This window comes from Homo sapiens, chromosome X (assembly GCF_000001405.40).
Source record: "Homo sapiens chromosome X, GRCh38.p14 Primary Assembly".
Classification (NCBI taxonomy): Eukaryota; Metazoa; Chordata; class Mammalia; order Primates; family Hominidae; genus Homo; species Homo sapiens.
The window spans coordinates 106,801,271-106,825,506 of NC_000023.11; the positions used below are offsets into that span (position 1 = coordinate 106,801,271).

The window sequence follows — 24,236 nt, forward strand, 5'->3', positions numbered from 1 at the left end:
GAAAGGAAGATATCTCTCAACGTTTGCTACATTTACTGATCTTTCTCCAGGAAGAGAAGAAGAAATTACCTCCCTTAGTACACATTCAAATTGCGATGGCTTTTCCCAAAGATACATTGCAGTCTGGACTCTGAAAGGATTATCTCTTTCCAAACTGTCCAGATAGCTGCCTTGGGACTACTTACTGCCATTTAGTAGAAGAGAATCCCAGATTGCCCCTTTTCTCATTCACAAGAAAAATCCCTGCTTGGAGCACACGCCTGCCTCACTCGAGATGGCACACATCTTGGAAGGTTACCCCAGAGATGCTCCTCCAGGGCAGAGTTCCTTGGCTTGGCATCTGCGTGTGCCCCACCCCATTTTTTTTTAATCCACATGACTTTGAGGCTCTATTCTCAAAACAGCTTGCCAAGAGCCCTTTGCTTATACATGGCCTCCCAACTCCTTCCTCCCTCTAAACTTTTTTTCACTTTTAATGCACTCTTTAATTCCGGTGGACTTAGTTATTGCAATAAATAAAAACATCTGTCAAATATTTCCTCACAGCGATATCATGCAAATTATTGACCTCATTCACCTTAGTGTTCAAACCGCTGCGCATCATTGCCAAGATACAAAGAGATCAAGTTTGCTTCCAAAGGGATTTTTTTAAGAGTTTAAGAAAAAAAAAAATGCACATAAATTGTTTAGATTCCAAAATAGGAAGCTGGACAAGAGATTTTCTGTGGTTCATTACAGCAGTTTAATAAACAGATAGGGGCGACAGTGAAGGAAAGGAGCGGTGCACGGAGTGAAGAAAACGCGTGGCTTCTGGAAATTTTATATTCTTCCTATATAACCAAAAAGAGCTTAATCTAGGCATGAATTTTGGATTTAGAGAAGGAATCGTATCACTGACTGTGTGACCTTGGATAAGTCGCCTCACCCGACAGTGCTTTCCTTTATTAATGTGCAAAGCGGGGACGAATGTCCACTTCGCAAGACTGCTGTGAGGATTACGTGAGATCGCCTGAGTCTATAGTGAGAGCTCATTAAATGTTAGTTGTTGCTACTGCTACTTCCTGGAATGAACCGATATTCCAAAATTCCAGAAACTTTGTTTTCTACAGTTTAATGCCTTCGGCTGTAAAATGATAAAAAGAAGCAACACCTTTACACCTGGGACTCACTTATTTGAACCAAAAAAATGCTTTAAACTTCAGATAGGCAAAACACACTTAACTGATGGCTGGGACCCGCTTTGAAAGCACCCCCACCCATTCTCACCCCAGTGTATTGTGGGAAGGGTAGTCCCATGTTCCAGTCGCTTGAGCACAGAAAAGCGCGTAGGAAACTACAACTCCCAAGAGGTAAAGAAGCGGGACTATTTCCCAGTCTGGCGGTAGCGCTGTGGGAGGGAATTGGCAATCTCTCTGCCTACGTGGGAGAGAAGGGAGGGTTGGGGGAAGTGTGGAAAACCTGAACCTGAGCTGCTGTCGCCTGAGGAAGATTTGGTGGGAGGAGAAGCAGAGGGGAAGAGACGGGTTGAGAGTGAGGTGAGGAGGGCATCTAGGTCACTGCTCCCGGGGGGCACAAAGTTCGCGATGTGGCTGAAGCCTGAGGAAGTGCTTCTGAAAAATGCGCTGAAGCTGTGGCTGATGGAAAGGTCCAACGACTACTTCGTGCTGCAGCGGCGTCGGGGCTACGGGGAGGAAGGCGGAGGGGGGCTCACAGGTAAGCTGTGGCCACCCTACCTGCCTCTGGGCTGTGTTCGCTGTTACTTAAAAGGTGGTGAGGACAACAGTTACTCGTCGCTACCAGTTTCCCGATCCTAAATCGTGGGCGGAGGGACTGGGGTTCTTCTCCCGACACCACCTTTCCGCCACCACCTCCAAGTCCTGAGAATGTCTCACTGGACGACGAGTTGCTCTTTGGTTGGGACAGGTGAAGGGAGGAGCGCGGTTCTTTCTGAGGCCAAGGAAGAAACGGGTACCTACCTTGTCGCTTCCCATGGGGGGAGGGAGGCTGATGATGAGTGTTAGACCTAGACAGGTCGCATTTAGGCTGGTGACAGGGGCCAGTTCGCAGTTGTGAACTTAACTTTTTTCACAGAACCCATACCGATCATCAGCACCCTGGGGAGATTAAGCGTATGGGGGATGGGATGGAGTGGGTACGCGGGGATGGTGAGGAGAAAGGGAGGCGCCCAATCACATCCTGAGAAATAGACTTCAAAAGAAATATTAGGGAGGAGGGAGAACTGGAGTCAGGAGAGGTGGAGGGGTAGGCTCAGAATTGCTGATCTCTCCCAATTTAGCATCTTTTACTTTGTCTCCAAGTTTTCAATCTTTGGGATCCCCTCTCAAAGGCTATTAACAACGTCGTAATAAATTAATCTCTTGAGTGACTGGTGCTGCCCCTTCATTCAAAGCTGTGATTGTAAGCCAGACGGTAAGAGTTTAACTCTTCCTGTCTAACCCACCCTGACCCCAATTCTTAAAAAGTGTTTTTTGGCCAAATGTTTAAAGTTTCCAGAGAAAGTTATTTTGAGACCACTCATCTTGGGTAGGGATATTTAAAGTTTTGGACGTTGGGAAAGCAAGAGCTCTTTTTCTAATCAATCTCTAATTTGGTATTGTGACCTTGAAGTGGTAGACCAGGCAGCGTGATGTAATGGAAAGAGGGAAGAGTCCCGAAAACCTGCATTTTAGTCCCATCCTACTCTCTTACTTGTTGGATGACATTCCTCAAACTCTTTCATTTACTCAACCTTAAGCACCTACTGTGTGCCACAAGGTTCACAAGATTCAGTTTCTTGGCTTTGCAGTGCTTATAATCTGGATAAGAAGGGTGGGAAGGTCTAAAGGAAAAAGAAAACCACCTAGTAAACTAGGCAAGTTATAATTCATGGAGGAGATGACCTTGCTTTTTCTCTCTTGGAAAATGGTGCCTACCTCACAGAGTTGAGAGGATAAAACGAAAGATAATAGCACCAAATCAATGTATGTCGTCAAGATGGTGATAAACGTATGCTGTTATTTCGTTTTCAAGCCACTCCCGGGGTGCAAAGAATTCTGAGGTTCTACAGGACATTTTTTAAAATTTTGCTAGACCTATTAATCTTATCCAGCTTCTAAAAAGGCCCTCTCGAAAATATGGCAACAAAAATTGCCCTGTTAAATGTGACATTTTGTCATTTTCTAATTTTTAAAAATTACAAATGCTATTTTGCAGAAGAGTCTTTCCATTTAATAGATGCAGATATTTTCGAGATCAAAATTTTAGAATCGATGTTCATAATTACCCAGTGACATAAATTATCCACTTGAGTCCATTGAGAATAGTTCAGGATATATTTAAAATAGATTTCAGGCCGGGCACGGTGGTTTATGCCTGTAATTCCAGCACTTTGGGAGACCGAGGCAGGTGGATTGCTTGAGACCAGGAGTTCAAGACCAGCCTGGACAACATGGCGAAACCCCATCTCTACAAAAAATACTAAAATTAGCCAGCCATGTGGCCCCAGCTACTTGAGAGACTGAAATGGGAGGATGGCTTGAGCCTGGGAGGTCAAGGCTACAGTGAGCCGTAATAGGGCCACTGCACTCCAGCCTGGGCAACAGAGGGAGACTCTGTCTCAAAAAGAAAAAAAAAATTAAAATAGATTTTATAGTCCCGTGTTACAGCCTCAGGAATAGTCTTATAATTTATTTTCGTTCCTCATACTAAAACTGTGTTCCTTTAAGTAGGTAAATCAAATTCTTGAAAATATAATCACTGTAATGTAGTATTGCATGTTTTTTTTAACTTGTTGCAAGTTTCCTTTTTTTTTTTTTTTTTTTTTTGTTTGAGACAGGATCTCTCACTCTGTCACCCAGGCTGGAGGGCAGTGATAGTGATGTGATTATAGCTCACAGCAGCCTGGAACTCCTGGGCTCAAGTGATCTTCCCACCTCAGCCTCCGGAGTAGCTAGGGCTTCAGGTACAAGCCACTAAGCCTGGCTAATTTCTTTTTTTTTTTTTAAGAGACAGGCTGTGTTGCCCAGGCATGATCTTGAACACCTGGCCTTAGGATCCTCCCACTTTGGTCTCCCAAAGGACTGGGATTGGGATTAAAGGAATGAGCCACCTCACCCAGCCTGACATGCTTTCTTCTTAAAGCATGGACCAACTGCACTAGTTTACCTCTATCCTGCCCACTCCATTTACTAGTCCCCATAGTCTAGAATAAGAGAAATTTGTCTGAAGAAATAAACTAAGATTTCTACCACATATATATGTTGTGACTAGTGATATCCACACTTATTTAGTGGTCAGTTTATAACTCTTCATGATTATTTTATCTGTGGTATTGACAAGATGCTTGAAATTACCACATGAGAGCTACCACTGTAATTCCATGTAAATTAAACAAAATGGATAAGAAAGAAACAAAGAGGTGCTTTTAAGGTTCATTTGGTTCTTTTTGGTCCAGAGCATAAGTGTGTGCTGATTTTCCTAGCTGCTCAATTACTGTATTCTTACTTAAAATCATGAAGCCAAAAGCTTTGTTGTGCTTTACCACAAATCCACATTTGGATTAGCTCTCACAGGAGCTTGACTGTGTGCCAGCATAAGTTTGCCTCTGTTCACTTTGTTTGCTAAAATCCAGTGTTATGTGTTATCCCTTTAAAAGATTAGTTTATGCATTTTGTTTAATGAAGAAATGATAATGATCATCTAGAAACCTTAGTGGTTATACTTTAAGATTTCATTTCTTTGCCATATGATAATTGGTGGTAATCACCAGCAATGTAATGACTCTTAAGTGTGGACTTGATAAAGTTAGTTGACTCCATTTTTTTCTAATAATGGAATAGCAGCAACAGAGAACTCAAGGATTATTAAAACAAGAGATGAGTTTGTAAGTTAGAATTCTGAGGTACCTCTTTTAAATTGTTGAAACACTTCTAGTGGATATCTGATAGATTACTGACCATTTGCCTAACTTTATCTTAATTGTTCTGGCTCACAGCAGGATGGAATATCTTGTGGAAATTTTTGGTATACATAAGCGGTTTTATAGATAAAGCGATTTTCCTTCATTTAGAGAAATAATTCACCCTTCTGGATTTTACGGTCCCCTTATGTTATCTCTTGCTTCTCCTAGCTAATAATGACTTTTCTATGACACCTACATTTAGCACCTGGTTTTAAAGAGTTAAAACTAATTTATGCATATTTGTCTTATTAAGCACAAATCAATTTGCTTTGCTTGGCAGATGGGAACTACTACACGAATGGAGCTATGGGGCTACATTCTACTAAGTACTCTAGTATATGGGATTTAGGAAGGTCTGCCAATCAGGAAGCCTTCATATAGGTAGTTTTTAAAGAGTATTTTAGTCTTGAATTTTCCATATCTGAATAGTGTAAGCAGGTTCTTCAGTGTTAGATTGATAAGCTCCCTCAGTAGACCTTTTTTGTGTGGTGTAGAACAAAGCTACGAAGTAAAACTTATTAAAATGGAGAATTTTTAGACATTCTGTTTCTGATTTCCTTTTTCATCTTGGTACCATTACTTTGAAATTAAATTGTCTGTAAAAACCAGAATATGATAATATTTGAAATAAGCTTTTCATTTTATGATATTTATATAGACTGAGCAAATCACTGTGTAAACAATTTGTCATAAACCCATACATAATAAACAATAAGGTAACCTTTTTAAAACCTCTTAGTGACCATCCCTTGAAAATATAAAGCTTCTTTCCCCTATTTCCTCACCCCAGACTCAAGGAGTCCAACTCTGAAAATGTGCGCCTTAGTTATTAGCAAAATATCCCTGCATTTCATGCTTACAAAGGACATATCTGATAAAAAAATTTTGGCCTTCTAAGTACCTGTCTACTGAGATGAGGGTGCCCAAGTGCCAAGCATGACATTTCATTTAAGGTAAGGAAAGATCTACCCGCCCCCCCCCATACACACACACACAAACACACACACACAAAATTAATAAGTTAACATTTTGGCTTATTAAAAAGAAAATCCCATGGGGCAACCCCTAGAGAGGGCAGATCACGCTTTGTGCTCCCATCCCTCTCTGGAACATCTTGGTCCCTGTGAAATCAAGTTAAAGATTACTTTTAAAGATCTCTGAATGAGAAAGAGCAACTTTGTAGGAGGTTTTGAGTAATGAAGGATGATCAGTGTTACCCTCACCTTTTTTTTTTTTTTTTTTTGGAATAGTGGAAAGATTATTGACTGCATACCTAAGTAGAAAACTAATATTTGGTTTCAAGTAGATTTAATTCTAATGAAAGAAAAAACAAGACTGAAAAGTCATGACATTGACCGTCCTTTATTTCTCAAAATCTCCTACAAGGCTGCCCTTTCTTATTCAAAGAGATCTTTAAAGGTAATTTTTTACTTGATTTCAGAGAACGAAATGTTCCAGGGAGGGAGAGGAAAACAGTGTGATTTGCCCTCCCTAGGTATTGCCCTATGGGATTTTAAAAAAATAAAAAATAAATAAACCAGGCTGGGCACAGTGGCTCACGCCTGTAATCCCAGTACTTTGGGAGGCCAAGGCGGGCGGATCATTTGAGGTCAGGAGTTTGAGACTACCCTGGCCAACACGTTGAAACCCCATCTCTACTAAAAATACAAAAATTAGCCGGACTTGGTGGCGGGTGCCTGTAGTCCCAGCTACTGATGAGGCTAAGGCAGGAGAATCACTTGAACCCAGGAAGTGGAGGCTGCAGTGAACCGAGATCGCACTGTTGTACTCCAGCCTAGGTGACACAGGGAGACTCCATCTCAAATAATAATAATAACAATAATAATAATAATAAATAAACCAACTACAAGCCAACATCCACAAATATATGAATATAACACCAAGTTCAGTGATTCCACTTGCCCCATTAACCCTGTTTCTTTTATCTTCCTTGATTTTTTGATAGTTTTATGTCTCTATTCAGCTATAATTATTTTATAAAGGCTTAGTTTCCTCATCTGTAAAATGGGGATAAAAACTTGTCTTTCCTACCTCACAGCATTTTTTATGTGGGTCAAATGAGTTTTGAAACTTGTGAGCAACTATACAAATACTTGACATTTATCTATTAATGAAAGAGAAAGACGTTAAAATGCCATTTTCTGGGCCTGAAGAACAAAGGGGTTATATATTTATGCCATTTTCCCTAGTAATTACTTTCCCCATGTTGTATATAGAAATTGATTTGGAGTGGTAACATAGATTATATCTGATATGCAATGATATCACTACAAAAACAAAACACTGATAGTTACTAATTGAAGAATTTGGGCATGATAGTGATTATGCATTTATGGTTTATAATCAGAATAATGTACAAGAATTAGAATAACTTATCATGACATCATTTCCTTTTGATCTGTCATCGCCCAAAACCTGGAAGTTCTCAAACAGTGCTTCCGTAGATATCAGCATCACTTGTCTTGCTGAGTGGTGATAAAGAGTACATATAACATTGGTTACCTTAGTAGTATTTTTCAAAACAATACTTAAAAAATAATTATTCAACTGGTGAAAACTCATGCTGTTTGTGAACAGTTGTGGAAGGCTTATGGCTATAAGGTAAGCTAAAAATAAAAAATAAAAAGCAGTCAGGCATGGTGGTGCACACCTGTAGTCCCAGCTACTTAGGAGGCTGGGGCGGGAGGATTGCTTGAGCCCAGGAGTTCGAGGCCAGCCTAGGCAATATAGTGAGATAAAAAATATTTTAAAAAGTAAAAGGCATTATAATGTTTGCCACATTGCTGTACAGCTATGACAGATTTTATATTGCCTTTATTTTAGAACATTTGCCCAGTTTTCCACCTTTTGCTACTGCTATGTAAGCACAAAAGGTAAGATTAAATCCTAAATGTGATGGTATACAATGCTTTAATTCAACAGATATTTACCGAGTGCCTTTTAAAAAACAAGCACTGTTTTAAGTGCTGGAGATAAAGCAATGAAAAAAAACAAAGTCCCTACTCTCATGGGGCTAATACCGTAGTTGGGGGAGGCAAATAAACAAATAGTATATGATATGACTGGTGCTGATAAGCAATATGAAGAAAAATAAAGTAAGGTATCATGATAGAGAGGGGAGGGGGTTGGTATATTAGAGAAATTGGTCTGGGAAGGCCTCTTAGGATGAGCTGTGGACAGAGACTTGTGGTACTAGAATATATGAGCCAAACAAATATTTGGGAACAGAGTGAATACATATAATTTTTTCTAGAAGTTTTTTCTGTGAAGGGAAAGAGAGAAATAGGGTGGTAGCTGGCCCTTGTCCTGGGTGTTGAGTATACAGTGGTGAATAAGACAGGAATAGTTCTGGCCAGGCGCAGTGGCTCACACCTGTAATCCCAGTGCTTTGGGAGGCCGAGGCAGATGTATCACCTGAGGTCAAGAGTTCGAGACCAGCCTGGTCAACATGGTGAAACCCCATCTCTACAAAAAATACAAAAATTAGCTGGGCGTGGTGGCACACACCTGTAATCCCAGCTACTTGGGAGGCTGAGGCAGGAGAATCACTGGAACCCACGAGGCGGAGGTTGCAGTGAGCCGAGATCACGCCACCGCACTCCAGCCTGGGTAACAAGAGTGAGACTCCGTCTCAAAAAAAAAAAAAAAAAAAAGACAGAAATAGTTCCAACCCTTACGGAGTTTATCATGTGATGGCTCAGACAGTTGATAAATAAGTAAGCAAACCAATACAATTGCTAGTGTAGTCAATAATAATAGCAGCCTTGTTCTGTTGGCTTAGAAATCTCCATAATGCAGGGAAACCCTCAAAGCAATTTTCCAAGGCCAGCTGTCTTATAAAGTATGCTTATCTGAAGTCCTGTTAAAGATACAAATATTTCCTAAAAGCAGTGATTAATAATAGGTGGTGTACTGGTGGCAAAGTTCCAGTGTGGCATCTGTGAAGCATCTTGCCAAAAACCAGTTTGGGGTGTTTTCAAATTAAATCATCCATCTATGAGCACTAACAATATCTGAGAGGTGGTTTGGTAGAAGTGGTGGGAGGAGGGGGGACGTTCTAAGTAGGAGGAATAATGTGATAGTGCAAAAGCAAAAGATAACAGTTGTTGGGGACACAGCAAATATTCTAGATTCATTTACGTGGAGTTGAAAATATGAGACTCAATATATAATGCACTTAGCGACTAGAAAAAGGTTATTAAAGAGCAATGTCTTAATCTATACCAGAGGAAAACCTGAGATAGAGAATTAAAGGGACCTAATAATTAAACCTTTGTTTTTTGTGTCCACTGTTCTTTCAGTGGACATAAAACAGCCTATGTATAACAAAAATTTCCACAAGATATTCCATCCTGCTCTGAGCCAGAACAATTAAGTAAGATAAAATTAGGCAAATAGTCAGTAATCTATCAGATATCCACTAGAAGTGTTTCAACTCATAAGCCAAATAAATTAACATTTTGGCTTATTAAAAGGAAAATCACGTAGAGCAACCCCTAGAGAGGGCAGATCACACTGTGTGCTCCCCTCCCTCCCTGGAACATCTTGGTCCCTGTGAAATCAAGTAAAAAATTACCTTTAAACATCTCTGAATGAGAAAGGGCAACCTTGTAGGAGGTTTTGAAAAATGAAGGATGATTAGTGTTACCCCCCCACTTTTTTGGTAGCAGTGGAAAGATTATTAACTGCATACCTAAGTAGAAAACTAATATTTCCTGTCAAGTAGATTTCATTCTAATGGAAAAAGAAGAAAGAAAAAAAGAAAAAGAAAAAACAAGACTGAAAAGTCATGACATTGGCCATACTTTATTTCTCAAAATCTCCTATAAGGCTGCCCTTTCTTATGCAAAGAGATCTTTAAAGGTAATTTTTTACTTGATTTCAGAGAATAAAATGTTCCAGGGAGGGAGAGGAATACACATTGTGATATGCCCCTTTTTCCCCCTCCCTTACTACACTATAAAGAACTGAAGTTTTAAAACAAGGTATAGGGCTGGGCACGGTGACCCATGCCTGTAATCTCAGCACTTTGGGAGGCCAAGGCAGGAGAATTGCTTGAGCCCGGGAGTTGGAGACCAGCCTCGGCCACACAGTAAGACCTTGTGTCTACAAAAAATAAACAAAATTAGCAGGACGTGGTGGTATGCGCCTGTAGTCCCAGCTACACGGAAGGCTGGGGTGGGTGGGAGATCGTTTGAGCCAGGGATGTGGAGGCTCCAGTGAGCTGAGATTGCATCACTACACTCCAGGCAGGGTGACAGAGTGAGACCTTGTCTCAAAATAAATAAATAAAACAAGGTGTAATCACATTTTCTGATTATTATTATAATATTAGTTGCTCTCTTGTTTTAAACTAACCAAAATGATGGGCCTGGTTTAGTTCTTCTAAATAATGTTTAAAAGTACTACACTGTATACCAGTTTATTCATTTGCTATCATATTTGCTTTCTTCTTTGTACCTAGAAATTCAGGTGTTGCAATTTATTTGCTTTTCTGAGGGTTACTCTTTTTGTGCATTGGTGTATAGGTCTTGAAGAGTAAGAAGTGGCTGTAAATATAGTACCAATTCTCATATTTTCCTGTGTCTCTATCTTTAGAAATGTTTCTGGGTTTGATTAATAATTCATCTATTCTTTTTTTCCCAGAAGACATTGTAATCTGTTGTTTGTTATATCAATTGCTTCCCTAAAAAATTCTAAATCCTTTAATGAAAAAAAGATTTCAGTTAGGGAAGGAAATGAGTGCTTATATATATATATTCAGTTTTCAAGTAAGTCCCTTTAAAAGAATGCAGGGAGAGAGAAAACAGGACCAAAGAAGAATTATTTTTATTAACTGTTTTCCGAAGCTCTTAATATAAAGTTGGCAGCTTTCAAAATGCCAACTGTGGCTATTGAATTATTCCAAAATAAGCATTCATAGTGTCATTTTAAGGACTTACATCTGGTAGCAAAGTAATAGAATCAGGAAAATCCACAAACTTTATTGAGCACACTACCTTCTCTTATTTGAATATATTTCCTGCTAAGTGTATTGGCAGTTTACTAATTAGTTTGTTTATTAACATATAATGAAACTAAGTTCAGTAAAGTTGTACTTGTTTGACTTTGTAAGCATGACAACTTATGACAAGATAAAGAATCCACTGTAAGTTTCCAGTAATCATTACCGTGGAAAAAATTATAATTGAACATTTTACTTAGAATGGAAATAAATCTTGTTTGTAATTAGGAAGTTCATTACATGGCTCTTCTGCAGCTAGAGCAGTATTCACTTACACAGTGCCCTCAATCCAGTTTACAAACAGAAAGAGCAACTTGTCAAACTAAAGGACATTTTAGTTTGTGTACTAAACTAGCACATTGATAATGAGTATCATTTTCAAGCTGTGGCTGTTTTACTGGTCTTTCCTCTAGCACTCAGCCCATTGCCCTACCTGTTCATCATTACCATTGACCTAATACAAAAAAAGAAATGTTTATGAAATTTGCAGGTGTCTAAATATTGGAAGGGGCAATTAATACCATAGATCAATGTGCTCAATATTGGCCACAGGTTAGATTCAAATGAGGACCTTTTATTTTTATTTATTTATTCATTTATTTATTTATTTTTGAGATGAGTCTCACTCTGTTGCCCAGGTGGGGGTGCAGCGGCGCAATCTCAGCTCACTCCAAGTGATGCAACCTCCGCCTCCCGAGTTCAAGAGACTCTCCTACCTCAGCCTTCTGAGTAGCTGGGATTACAGGCACCTGCCACCATGCCCAGCTAATTTTTGTATTTTTAATAGAGACAGGGCTTCACCATATTGGTCAGGCTGGTCTGAAACTCCTGACCTCAGGTGATTCACCCGCCTCGGCCTCCCAAAGTGCTGGGATTAAAGGCGTGAGTCACCAAGCCCAGCCTCTGAGGACCTTTTAAAATAAACTAAAAGATACTGGATATTCATGGATGAAATGATACAATGTCTAGAATTTACTTTAAAATACTCCAGGAGGGAGTATTTAGAACCCAGAAATTGGTACATATTAATTTCTGAATGACTTGCAGGGACTTGATGATGATTACAGCTTAATGAGCTGGAAGAGTTCCCCAAGTGACTAGAAATGTAGTCTAGCACTAGTTTCCAAATTATTTCTTGCATAGTTTTATACTAACTGCCTGATTTCACACTTAACAAAACTGAGCAATTTTCTTTCTACATAGTACAAGGCGCTTATAATCTTGTGAACATTTCTGCTGCCAAAAAGTGACCTTTCTTGCCAGTGATTTTGACTACTCCTCTCACATCCACATAGCCACCATTAATCTTTCAACAGTATCTTCAAAAAGATAGTTATCTTTTATCTTTATCTGTTATCTGCTAAAGCTATCCTGTATTCAATAAAGTGCCTTCATTTGAAATTCTAATTCCTTTATTTTGACAAATTTGACAACTTATGTTTATTTATATACACACACATTTATGTACTTAATTCTGTTTTTCAACATAGTGATAGCTCTTTTGGTTGTCTTTTGCGACTACTCTTTTATCCCTTTTTTTAGTATTTTCACATTCCTATCTTCAAATTGAAAACATTCTCCTCTTCTCTATTTCCTCAGTAATTTTTTTTTATTATTACACTTTAAGTTTTAGGGTACATGTGCACAATGTGCAGGTTAGTTACATATGTATACATGTGCCATGCTGGTCTGCTGCACCCATTAACGCGTCATTTAGCATTAGGTATATCTCTTAATGCTATCCCTCCCCCCTCCCGCCACCCCACAACAGGCCCCAGAGTGTGATGTTCCCCTTCGTATGTTCATGTGTTCTCATTGTTCAATTCCCATCTATGAGTCTGAACATGCGGTGTTTGGTTTTTTGTCCTTGCAATAGTTTACTGAGAATGATGATTTCCAATTTTATCCATGTCCCTACAAAGGACATGAACTCATCATTTTTTATGGCTGTATAGTATTCCATGGTGTATATGTGCCACATTTTCTTAATCCAGTCTATCATTGATGGACATTTGGCTTGGTTCCAAGTCTTTGCTATTGTGAATAGTGCCGCAATAAACATACGTGTGCATGTGTCTTTATAGCAGCATGATTTATAGTCCCTACAAAGGACATGAACTCATCATTTTTTATGGCTGCATAGTATTCCATGGTGTATATGTGCCACATTTTCTTAATCCAGTCTATCATTGTTGGACATTTGGCTTGGTTCCAAGTCTTTGCTATTGTGAATAGTGCCGCAATAAACATACGTGTGCATGTGTCTTTATAGCAGCATGATTTATAGTCCTTTGGGTATATACCCAGTAATGGGATGGCTGGGTCAAATGGTATTTCTAGTTCTAGATCCCTGAGGAATCCCCACACTGACTTCCACAATGGTTGAACTAGTTTACAGTCCCACCAACAGTGTAAAAGTGTTCCTATTTCTCCACATCCTCTCCAGCACCTGTTGTTTCCTGACTTTTTAATGATCGCCATTCTAACTGGTGTGAGATGGCATCTCATAGTGGTTTTGATTTGCATTTCTCTGATGGCCAGTGATGATGAGCATTTTTTCATGTGTTTTTTGGCTGCATAAATGTCTTCTTTTGAGAAGTGTCTGTTCATATCCTTTGCCCACTTTTTGATGGGGTTGTTTGTTTTTTTCTTCTAAATTTGTTTGAGTTCATTGTAAATTCTGGATATTAGCCCTTTGTCAGATGAGTAGGTTGTGAAAATTTTCTCCCATTCTGTAGGTTGCCTGTTCACTCTGATGGTAGTTTCTTTTGCTGTGCAGAAGCTCTTTAGTTTAATTAGATCCCATTTGTCAATTTTGGCTTTTGTTGCCATTGCTTTTGGTGTTTTAGACATGAAGTGCTTGCCCATTCCTATGTCCTGAATGGTAATGCCAAGGTTTTCTTCTAGGGTTTTTATGGTTTTAGGTCTAATGTTTAAGTCTTTAATCCACCTTGAATTAATTTTTGTATAAGGTGTAAGGAAGGGATCCAGTTTCAGCTTTTTACATATGGCTAGCCAGTTTTCCCAGCACCATTTATTAGATAGGGAATCCTTTCCCCATTGCTTGTTTTTGTCAGGTTTGTCAAAGATCAGATAGTTGTAGATATGCGGCATTATTTCTGAGGGCTCTGTTCTGTTCCATTGATCTATATCTCTGTTTTGGTACCAGTACCATGCTGTTTTGGTTACTGTAGCCGTGTAGTATAGTTTGAAGTCAGGTAGTGTGATGCCTCCAGCTTTTTTCTTTTGCCTTAGGATTGACTTGGTGATGCAGGCTCTTTTTTGGTTCCATATGAACTTTAAAGTAGTTTTTTCCAATTCTGTGAAGAAAGTCATTGGTAGCTTGATGGGGATGGCATTGAATCTATAAATTACCTTGGGCAGTATGGCCATTTTCACGATATTGATTCTTCCTACCCATGAGCATGGAATGATCTTCCATTTGTTTGTATCCTCTTTTATTTCATTGAGCAGTGGTTTGTAGTTCTCCTTGAAGAGGTCCTTCACATCCCCTGTAAGTTGGATTCCTAACTGTTAGAACCAAAGACAAAAACCACATGATTATCTCAATAGATGCAGAAAAGGCCTTTGACAAAATTCAACAACGCTTCATGCTAAAACCTCTCAATAAATTAGGTATTGATGGGTCGTATCTTAAAATAATAAGAGCTATCTATGACAAACCCACAGCCAATATCATACTGAATGGGCAAAAACTGGAAGCATTCCCTTTGAAAACTGGCACAAGACAGGGATGCCCTCTCTCACCAGTCCTGTTCAACATAGTGTTGGAAGTTCTGGCCAGGGCAATTAGGCAGGAGAAGGAAATAAAGGGTATTCAATTAGGAAAAGAGGAAGTCAAATTGTCCCTGTTTGCAGACGACATGATTGTATATCTAGAAAACCCCATTGTCTAAGCCCAAAATCTCCTTAAGCTGATAAGCAACTTTAGCAGAGTCTCAGGATACAAAATCAATGTACAAAAATCACAAGCATTCTTATACACCAATAACAAACAGAGAGCCAAATCATGAGTGAACTCCCATTCACAATTGCTTCAAAGAGAATAAAATGCTCAGTAATTTTAATCACATAGTTCTGAAGACACTATCTGCATATTTTGGCTCCTACTTTTCTTTCTTTTTACTTTACCAAATCTCCAATTTCTCATAGTCACTATTTCAATGCTAAAAGTGATAGAATTATTTTTCCTTTTATCCCCAAACCCATCAGTAATTCCCTCCTCATTAGTTGAAATATAATTATTTTCTGTTTCCCTCATCCTCATTCCCATTGTCTTTTCCCCAATACTTTCTCTTTCATAATATTTGTCAGTTTTCTCATTTCTATTTTTTAAAAGCTTCAATTCATACTTGAACTTTTTTTCATATCAGATAACTTCTTATCTCTATAATCTGCACATACTGCCATTGCCAAAATCTTCTTTCTTGAACTTTGCCCTATCAAAATCCTCAGAAAATTTCTAATTGATGCTATGCTGCATTTGTGACTCCTGTTTTTACTTTTTATCAATTCCTGTATCTACTCTCCTATCCTTTCCTTTCAGCTAAGCCAAATTTCTCTTTATGTCTTTGTCTTATCTCCTACTCTTCTAGTTTACCTCCTTCTATGCATGTAACTTCCTAATGTGATAGGAAGTGATGTGAGGCAAATGTGAGCATCTGCCAATCTATCTATATTCTCATTCAAACCTTGCTTAAAATCTCAATTCTTTTTAAGTGGGTCAAAATAGGAAGAGAGCCAAAAGCCTGGTTTATAATTGAATTAAATTTTTCTTAAAAATCTGTATTCTAAATTAAAGGGAAATGCCTCATAAAGCAAAACCAACACTCAACCAATCAGAGCTTCCAGAAAAGGAAGGTAAATTTATATATTTCAGCCATCCCATTGATATGGTTAAATCAACAAACTATATCCTTATTGTGCAGCAATATGTTGAAAGTTATGGATATAAACACAGAGACAGAAGACATGGTTATTGTCCTCAGAGGACAAATAATCTAGATAAAGAGACAAAAATTATATACATGAAGCTCTTAGAAAGTAGTTATAATAACCAGCCTAATATATGCTAGGTTGTGTAGTACAGGTTAAACATCACTAATCTAAAAATGAAAAATCTGAAATGTTCCAAAATCCGAAACATTGATTGCTGACATGATGCCGCAAATGGAAAATTTCCACACCTGACCTCATGTGACAGGTTGCAGTCAAAACTCATGCATAAAATTATTTAAAATATTGTATAAAATTATCTTCGGGCTATATGTATAAGGTATATATGAAACAAATAAGTTTCATGTTCAGACCTGGGTCCCATCCCCAAGATATCTCAGTATGTGTATGCACTTAATCCAAAACCTGAAAAAATCTGAAATCTGAAACACTTCTGGTCACAAGCATTTCATATAAGGGATACTCAACCTGTATAGACTCTAAGTCCTATGAATATTCAGAGAAAATGGAAAGTATTATTGCTTGGGATAGCCAGTGAGGATTTCATAGGGGAAGTGGGTCTTGAAGAAAATGTAGAATTCAGATTAGTTGGACTGGACTAGAAGACTTTCATTAGGATTTCTTTTTTTTTCATTAGCATTTCTAGGTAAAATGATAATTGCTTAGCAAAGACCCTATGGGAGAAATTAACTGGTTGTTTAAGAAAACAGTGAACTTTGTTCTAGGAAATAGTAGGAAATATAATTAGATTATTAAACTGGAACTAATTGATCAAGAACCTTGAATTCCTAATTGAGGAATTAAGAATTGTTGAAAAGAAAATCCCTGTACAGAAGCATTTTATTTAATCAAGGTTTTATCTTGTTTAAATATCTAAGATTTTCTTAAATAATAATAGTATTAACTAATATCGGGTGTTTTACTGTGTGCTAAGCATTGCTCTAAGTGCGTTAAATGTAACAACTCATTTAATCTTTACAACAGCCCTTTGTAGTAGGATCTGTTTTAACCTTATTTTACAAATGAGGATGCAGAAAGGGTAAGTACTTTAACTTGCTCAAGTTGACACAAGCGACAGAGCCAGAATTTAAACCCAGTTAGTCTATAGTACTATATTCTACATTCTTATCTAATATACATACAACCTTATGAACGAGATACATAAGTGCTGCAGATACATTTTGAGATTTGGACAATTGAAGCTGACTTAACTCTTTTATTGAAAGATAATTTTCTCAGATACTACTCACATTGGCATACTGTAATCTCTCTTTATCCCAAATGTATTTTTTCTTTAAGAAAAATCTCTGTAAGGACTCTATGGGCTAGAAAAGTTTTAAAATAAATTTATTAGTTTGTTATATGAAGTGATACAGATTTGATTTATCTCTTGTAAAGTCCTTATTTCAACAATCTTTCTATTACAACAGGGCTTCTGGTTGGGACTCTTGATTCAGTCTTGGACTCTACTGCTAAAGTAGCTCCATTTCGCATCCTACACCAGACACCAGATTCTCAAGTTTACTTGTCAATTGCATGTGGTGAGTATGATTTTTAAAACATAATTCAAATTAAATAAGGGTACTACAAAGCTGAGTATTCATATTTATTTATAGTCTGTAGTTGCTTTGAGATTTAAAAACAAATTAAATGTGCAACTTTACTTTGAGAGAATAGCAAGACCTCTATTTTTAAAGGATATGGGTTATTAAGTTTTTTTTTTTTTTTTAATCCATTGGTGTGAGGGACCTGAAGCATGTGGTCTAGCAGGGCTGATTCTGCACAGATTTTGGTCAGTGTTACTGCTATATAACTCCTTTCTTCAACTTCTGCTTTATCCAACTGCTGGGAAGATGAGAACTTCTCCATGAAATAAATTGTTTCATTACTAATAACTCAAATGAGAAGAATCTGAAGTTATCTGTGAACCCAAAACATAATGACTCCTAAGGAAGTATAAGCCTGGAAAATTAAACCTTTTTTATTCATTCCCACCTTCTCAGAAAAAGCATCATATCCTTGAAATATGAAGGAATGTCTTACAGTTAATGTTACATATTCATTCATGCCAGGGTGGTTCAGATGCTTCAACATATATATTATGGGTAGAAAAGGAATTAGGATAATCCTTTCTAATAAAGCAAGTCAAAATAAATTTTTAAAAAGCTGCATTGACAGTTTCTTACTTCCTTTTATGATGCCATTATAATGTTGGTCTAAATTAGAATCCCAGATTTCTAGCCTTTTTGATATTGAAAAACTGCCTTTCTTCTTATCCCCCTCTCTTCTAAAGTAGATATATTATAATTTTTTAAAAAGAACAAAAGCACATGAGTTTCTGGAACATTCATATGTGTGAACATATAGCATACAATTAATTTTTTAGGTTGTGTGGCTTGTTTTTTATATTTCCGCCTAAATTTCTTTTAGTGTTGCCAGTGAGTCTTTCCTCCTGGCCCTCTTAAAGTGAATGTCACTTAACCTAAATGAGGTTGACATTATACCTGCTGACATCACGAGAATTCTGTAATCTCAACTCTAAATCTGGTTAGTAAAAATTATTTTTTTTAAAAAAAGGCCTTTCTACTTAAATAAAGATGATTGTATAACTTATTTCCCCCAAATTAACCTGATGCAGAAATAGTGTAGTTACCTACTAATGAAGCTTCCTTATACCAAAAGAATCAAACTTAAGGCCTTAACATTTCCCCCATGGCTTTTATTTGTGGTCCATTAAAGACAGTTATTACTCTTGCTATGGTGACTTAGTAGCATGAATAAAATTCTGATTGAATTGTAGGAAATAGGCCATTTGCAATGTCAACAAATTTTTTAATATGCCAGTCTCCATATATTATAAAATATACTAAAAAGTCAGCATATTTCTTTTGAATATTTATATAATCCATAGTGCTGAGAAGACTTTAATGGTATGTGAGTGATAGGAAGAGATTGATAGATACTGAAATATTCTTCAAGTCAAAGCAACTAGGGCTAATAATGTTTAATCTCACCCTCAGCAAACCTCTTAACACTGATTCAGCGGGTCACATGGATTTAACCTTGCTACAGAATTTCTAACCTCCTGTATGAAATTTCTGTAAGTTTACTAGGTCTTTTGATGAATGGGGTTGCTCTGAGCAAAGGTTTTGTGGCTTCTGAAATAAGTAGAGTGGCCACAGTTAAAATCTACATTTACTTAGCATGCATAGGATTGTCACATACATGCTGTTTTCAGCCACACATATTATAGACACAGCACTAACTGCATTATTTGGAGACCAAGGATTGAATTACACATTATGTATTTTCTGGTACTCTACATATTTTCTTAAAAGATACTGGTTATTCTTTAGGCACCAGTTACTAGCATCTTGTTTTCAGAATTTTATATATTTTCTCATGAGCTGGATTTACTTTACTCCCCTTTCATTAAATGTTTTGTTCTTTCTATTTATGAGAAGTACTGTTCATGCCCACATAGAGGGATAAAGTAGGAATAAATGTAAATATTTTACTCCTTTATGACCATCATTTTTTAAAGTGAAAATGTTATTTCTTTTTAAACTATGCTTTTAAATAACAAGAGCAGTTTTATTGTGGAGTTTTCCTTAAGTGTTTTATTTTCTTGTGTTATTAATCAGGAGCCAACAGAGAAGAAATAACCAAGCATTGGGATTGGTTGGAACAAAATATTATGAAGACCTTATCTGTATTTGATTCAAATGAAGATATTACTAATTTTGTACAAGGAAAAATAAGAGTAAGTGGCACGGATATATCTTGTAGATGGAGTGCCAAAACCTTTGACTCTCATGTATGAGGATCAAAGTTTGCATGGAAGGTCATTGTTTCACTGGCACCTTTCAGGATTGGTAGAAACGAACATATGAATTTCAGAATCAGTGTGCTAAAGAAAACTGTAAAGTCTTTAGCACAGGGGGAGATTGATAGATATTGAAATATTCTCTTAAAACATACTGGTTATTCTTTAGGTACCAATTACTGACATATTGTTTTCAGAATTTTATATATTTTCTCATGAGCTGGATTTACTTTTTTCCCCTTTCATTAAATGTTTGTCTTTGGTGCCCTTGTGAATGCTTTTAGGGGCATTTTTGTTTCAATATCTCTTGAGTTTTGAGTTGAATAAACCATTTGTTCATTCAAAAAAATATATTTAGCACTTGTATTTGTAGTAGTTCCTTATGAGGCATTCAGAAAAAAACCTAAGCACAAAACTGAAGAAAATTTGCTTACCTCTGTCCTAAGAGAATTATCTATGTACACACATATGATATATGTACCTGTATAGATATATACAGTCGTCCCTAGGTATCTATGGGGATTGGTTCTGGCCGCCGCTGTAGATACCAAAATTCACAGATGCTCAAGTCTCCTAATATAAAATGGCATAGTATTTGCATATAACCTATGCACATCTGCCTATATACCTAAAGTCATCTCTAGACTATTCATTCCTAATACAATGCCTATGCATCACTTCATTTGAGTGGACTCTGCATAGTCTTCGGTGCATGGCAAATTCAAGTTTTGCTTTTTGGAACTTTGTAGAATTTTTTTCCCAAATATTTTCAATCCCTGGTTGGTTGAATCCATGGATGAGGAACCCATGGATATGGAGGGCTGACTGTACAATTGTATTCAATCAACTGTTTGAATGTATGAAATATATTTTTGTTGGTAGGTGATGAATTTTCAGAAAATATTTTGTCTCCTTTAGGGATTAATTGCTGAAGAGGGAAAACATTGTTTTGCAAAAGAAGATGATCCTGAGAAATTTCGAGAAGCCCTTTTGAAATTTGAAAAATGTTTTGGTTTACCAGAGAAGGAGAAGTTAGTGACCTATTATTCATGCAGTTATTGGAAAGGACGGGTTCCTTGTCAGGGTTGGCTTTATCTTAGCACCAACTTTCTGAGCTTCTATTCTTTTTTGTTGGGATCAGAAAGTAAGTGGTTTCTATTGCTTACTATGGCCTTGAATTTGCTGTCTGACCTACCAACTCTAATGATGTTAGGTTGTAAATAAAATAATAGGATTGATATTAAAGGTAATTAAACTGTACAATAAAAAGTTTATTTCATCTAGGGAAAGAACTCTTTTAAGACTGGTTGCTTAACATAAAACCATTAGAAGTGTATATAGAATGCCTTGCATATCGTGGGAAGTGAGTCAGTATTAAATGATGATCTGGCATATGACTGCTTTCAATTCCTTGTTATGAACTACCTACATGCTTTAGTCTGTGTTTTAATCTATTTTAAACATACAATTTGAATATAGTGGCCATAGTACCTAATGGCCCACATCTCACTTTGTAGCTACAAAGAAGAATCAAACAGTGCTATTTATAGCATACAAACAGCTTTTACATTGGTAGTTATATAATTATGTAATTATATAAAGAGATAGATTTAAATATCAAATCAGAATCATTTTTTTTAAAAATTATCTAAAATTAAATTGGGCACAGTGGCTCACGCCTATAATCCTAGCACTTTGGGAGGCCAAGGCAGGAGGATCACTTGAGCCCAGGAGTTCAAGACGAACCTGAGCAATATAGTGAGACTCTGTCTCTACAAAAAAAAAAAAAAAAATTACATTAGCTGGGCATGGTGGCACATGCCTGTAGTCCCAGCTACTTGGGGGGACTACTTGGGATGTGAGAATCACTTGAACCCGGGAGGTCAAGGCTGTAATGAGCCATGATCATGTCACCTCACTCCAGTCTGAGCAACAGAGTGAGACTCTATCTCAAAAGAAATTATTTAAAATTAGATCTCTTCCTGGAATCACCAATTCTTGCACGTTCATGTTGATGCTTCAAATTTTTAACTAATCTTGAACTCTAAACTATTTTAGCTGTTTATAGTATTTTTCAAGGGATTAACTATTGTTTCAGAAGAACTGATTAATAAACATAAATCACTATGAAAATTTAATCATACCTGCTTATACCTCTTATTTGCAGTAAAACTCATTATCTCCTGGGATGAAGTCTCAAAACTTGAAAAGACTTCAAATGTCATACTGACAGAGAGTATTCACGTGTGTTCCCAAGGAGAGAATCACTACTTTTCAATGTTTTTGCACATTAACCAAACATACCTTCTTATGGAACAGCTGGCAAACTATGCCATTAGAAGACTTTTTGATAAGGAAACATTTGATAATGACCCAGTCCTTTATAATCCTCTACAGATCACCAAAAGGTATTCAAAGCTTAATTTTTAGTTTTCAAAGTATTGTTTGACCATAAGAATGAAGATAGTATTGCTTACCATTAAAAGTTAACTCTTCTATATTATATGATAGGGTTTTTTTTGGAGTTGATTGTGGGTGTGTGTGTGTTTTGTGAGTTTATTCATATGCATTACATAAATAGTACCCTTCTCTCCAGGAAATTTAATTGTAAGAAATAATAGAAGTTAGATTTGAAAATTATTTCTTGAGATTCAGATAGGACTTGCCCTGGAATGCTTTTAGAAATGCAGAGATTTTTATGTGTGGTTAGTCTAACTCTAAATTTCTCTATGAATAGTCTAGACAGTTTGGGTCTGAAATTGTTAAACATATTGTTTATTTTTTAAAATAACTTACAGAAAACATTTTTTAATGAAGAGGCAAGTTCGTGGAGTCAGTGGAGCATGGACTTTAGAATGAAAGTAGAACAACCCTTAGACAAGTCATATCTCTCAGGACCTCAGTTTCCTCATCTGTCATTTCTACCTCAGAGGGCACTTATGAGGAATGGGCATGATATGTGTGAAAGCACTTTGTAAAATATAAAATATGAGGCAAATATTAATCATTATTAGTGCCTCCTTCAGAAGTATGTGTCTGATAGCTGTTTGCCATTATATTTGGTTTGTTGAAACTGACCAGATATCTTTTATCCTGCTGAACATTCTGAACAGTTGACTAAAATGAGCATGCCAAAGGGGAAAAGGAGAGGAGATGATCCAGAAATAGCTAGTGAAAGCAGCTTCTGGCAAGGAGGATGTCAGTATAGACTATATGGGAAAGTATAAGAGGAACCTAAGCCAAAGTCCTATGGATAGACCAGAACAAGTGACCTAGAAGGTTGTATGATCACTACATAGCCCTCATTGGGTACAGTTGTTCCTCTTACCTGTTCCTAAACTATTCCTAAAATTGATATACATGAGGATTTGTTTGTGAGCCTCCCTGCTTTTATGGAAATTAGATCAGCAAGGTAAATTTTTTATACTTCAGTACCAAAACTAGGTCTCAGTATGCATGATTTATAAATAGAATTCTATAAGGATTAAGAATCCTGTTTGTATTATATTATAGGTGGGCGTTTGTTTTTGTATTTCATTTCTTTATTGGCAACCATAAACAAACTGTTTTGCCATTTTATTTCCCTTAAAATACAGTCTAAAAGGCTATCAATGAGTTATTCATCACCAAATCGGTATTTAATTAAGATATAATAAATCCATTTTTGTCTGTGTGCATTTTTAGGAGAGCCCATTGAAAATCGTACATATCTACATCTTTTTTTCTAGTAAGTTAAAAAGAACAGTAATTTATTGGGACTTAGTCTCCAAATGGCTTTTTTATAAAATGGAATATCTTTATTGCTCTGCTTATTGTTTTTACAAATATGTATTACTTTTATAGTTTAAACAATACAGAAGCACAGTAATGATAGTTAAGTTTAGCGTATATCCTTCTAGGCTTTTTAATGCATGAATTTATAAATATTTGCAAAAATAGGTCTGGACATCACACATTGTTCTACAATCTGCTTTTTTTCTCTTGTATCATGGACAACTTTCTATTCACATAAATGGACTTTATTTTATTTAAATAATAGTGAACCCACAAAATTGCAATTTATTTGTTTTATTAGCTTTCCCAGTTTGAAAAAAATACCATTTAACTGAGGTAAAAATTAACATGGTTGTGTTTTTCTGTTCATGTTTATCCGAAGTATTTTGAAAGACATGATGAACTACCACATATTTAAATAGTATATGCAGGAAGAATGAATTTAGTTTTAGCTTTGTTGGATTTGAGTTAGAACTTGCATTATTTACTTATTATCCCAGATGGCATTGCTGCTTAATGCAATTGTTTCGTGTGCCTAGAAAAAATTATACTATTTAAAGCAATTGCTTTTTACACAAAGGCTACATTTGTCTATCAGTTAATAAGCCCTCTGTATTTATTGACACCTATCCTGTGCCCAACATAGTACAAGCAGTATTATTTTATCATACTTC

The 24,236-nt window shown here is 36.8% G+C and overlaps 1 protein-coding gene across 6 annotated transcripts in view; it reads left to right on the plus strand.

Moving 5' to 3' along the window:
* Positions 1,403–24,236, plus strand: part of TBC1D8B (TBC1 domain family member 8B) — a 73,478-nt gene continuing 50,644 nt past the window's right edge. For 5 of the 6 annotated variants that reach the window (XR_001755701.2, NM_017752.3, NM_001441214.1 and 2 more), the window contains exons 1-5: positions 1,403–1,713; positions 17,393–17,503; positions 19,607–19,725; positions 20,707–20,932; positions 21,956–22,196. Coding sequence is in view for 5 of the 6 variants with exons in the window: in NM_017752.3 (NP_060222.2) it covers positions 1,584–1,713; positions 17,393–17,503; positions 19,607–19,725; positions 20,707–20,932; positions 21,956–22,196 (827 nt within the window). In the remaining variant the exon portion in view is untranslated. The remainder of the gene's footprint in view (positions 1,714–17,392; positions 17,504–19,606; positions 19,726–20,706; positions 20,933–21,955; positions 22,197–24,236) is intronic. The other variant, NM_001441215.1, reaches the window with a different exon arrangement.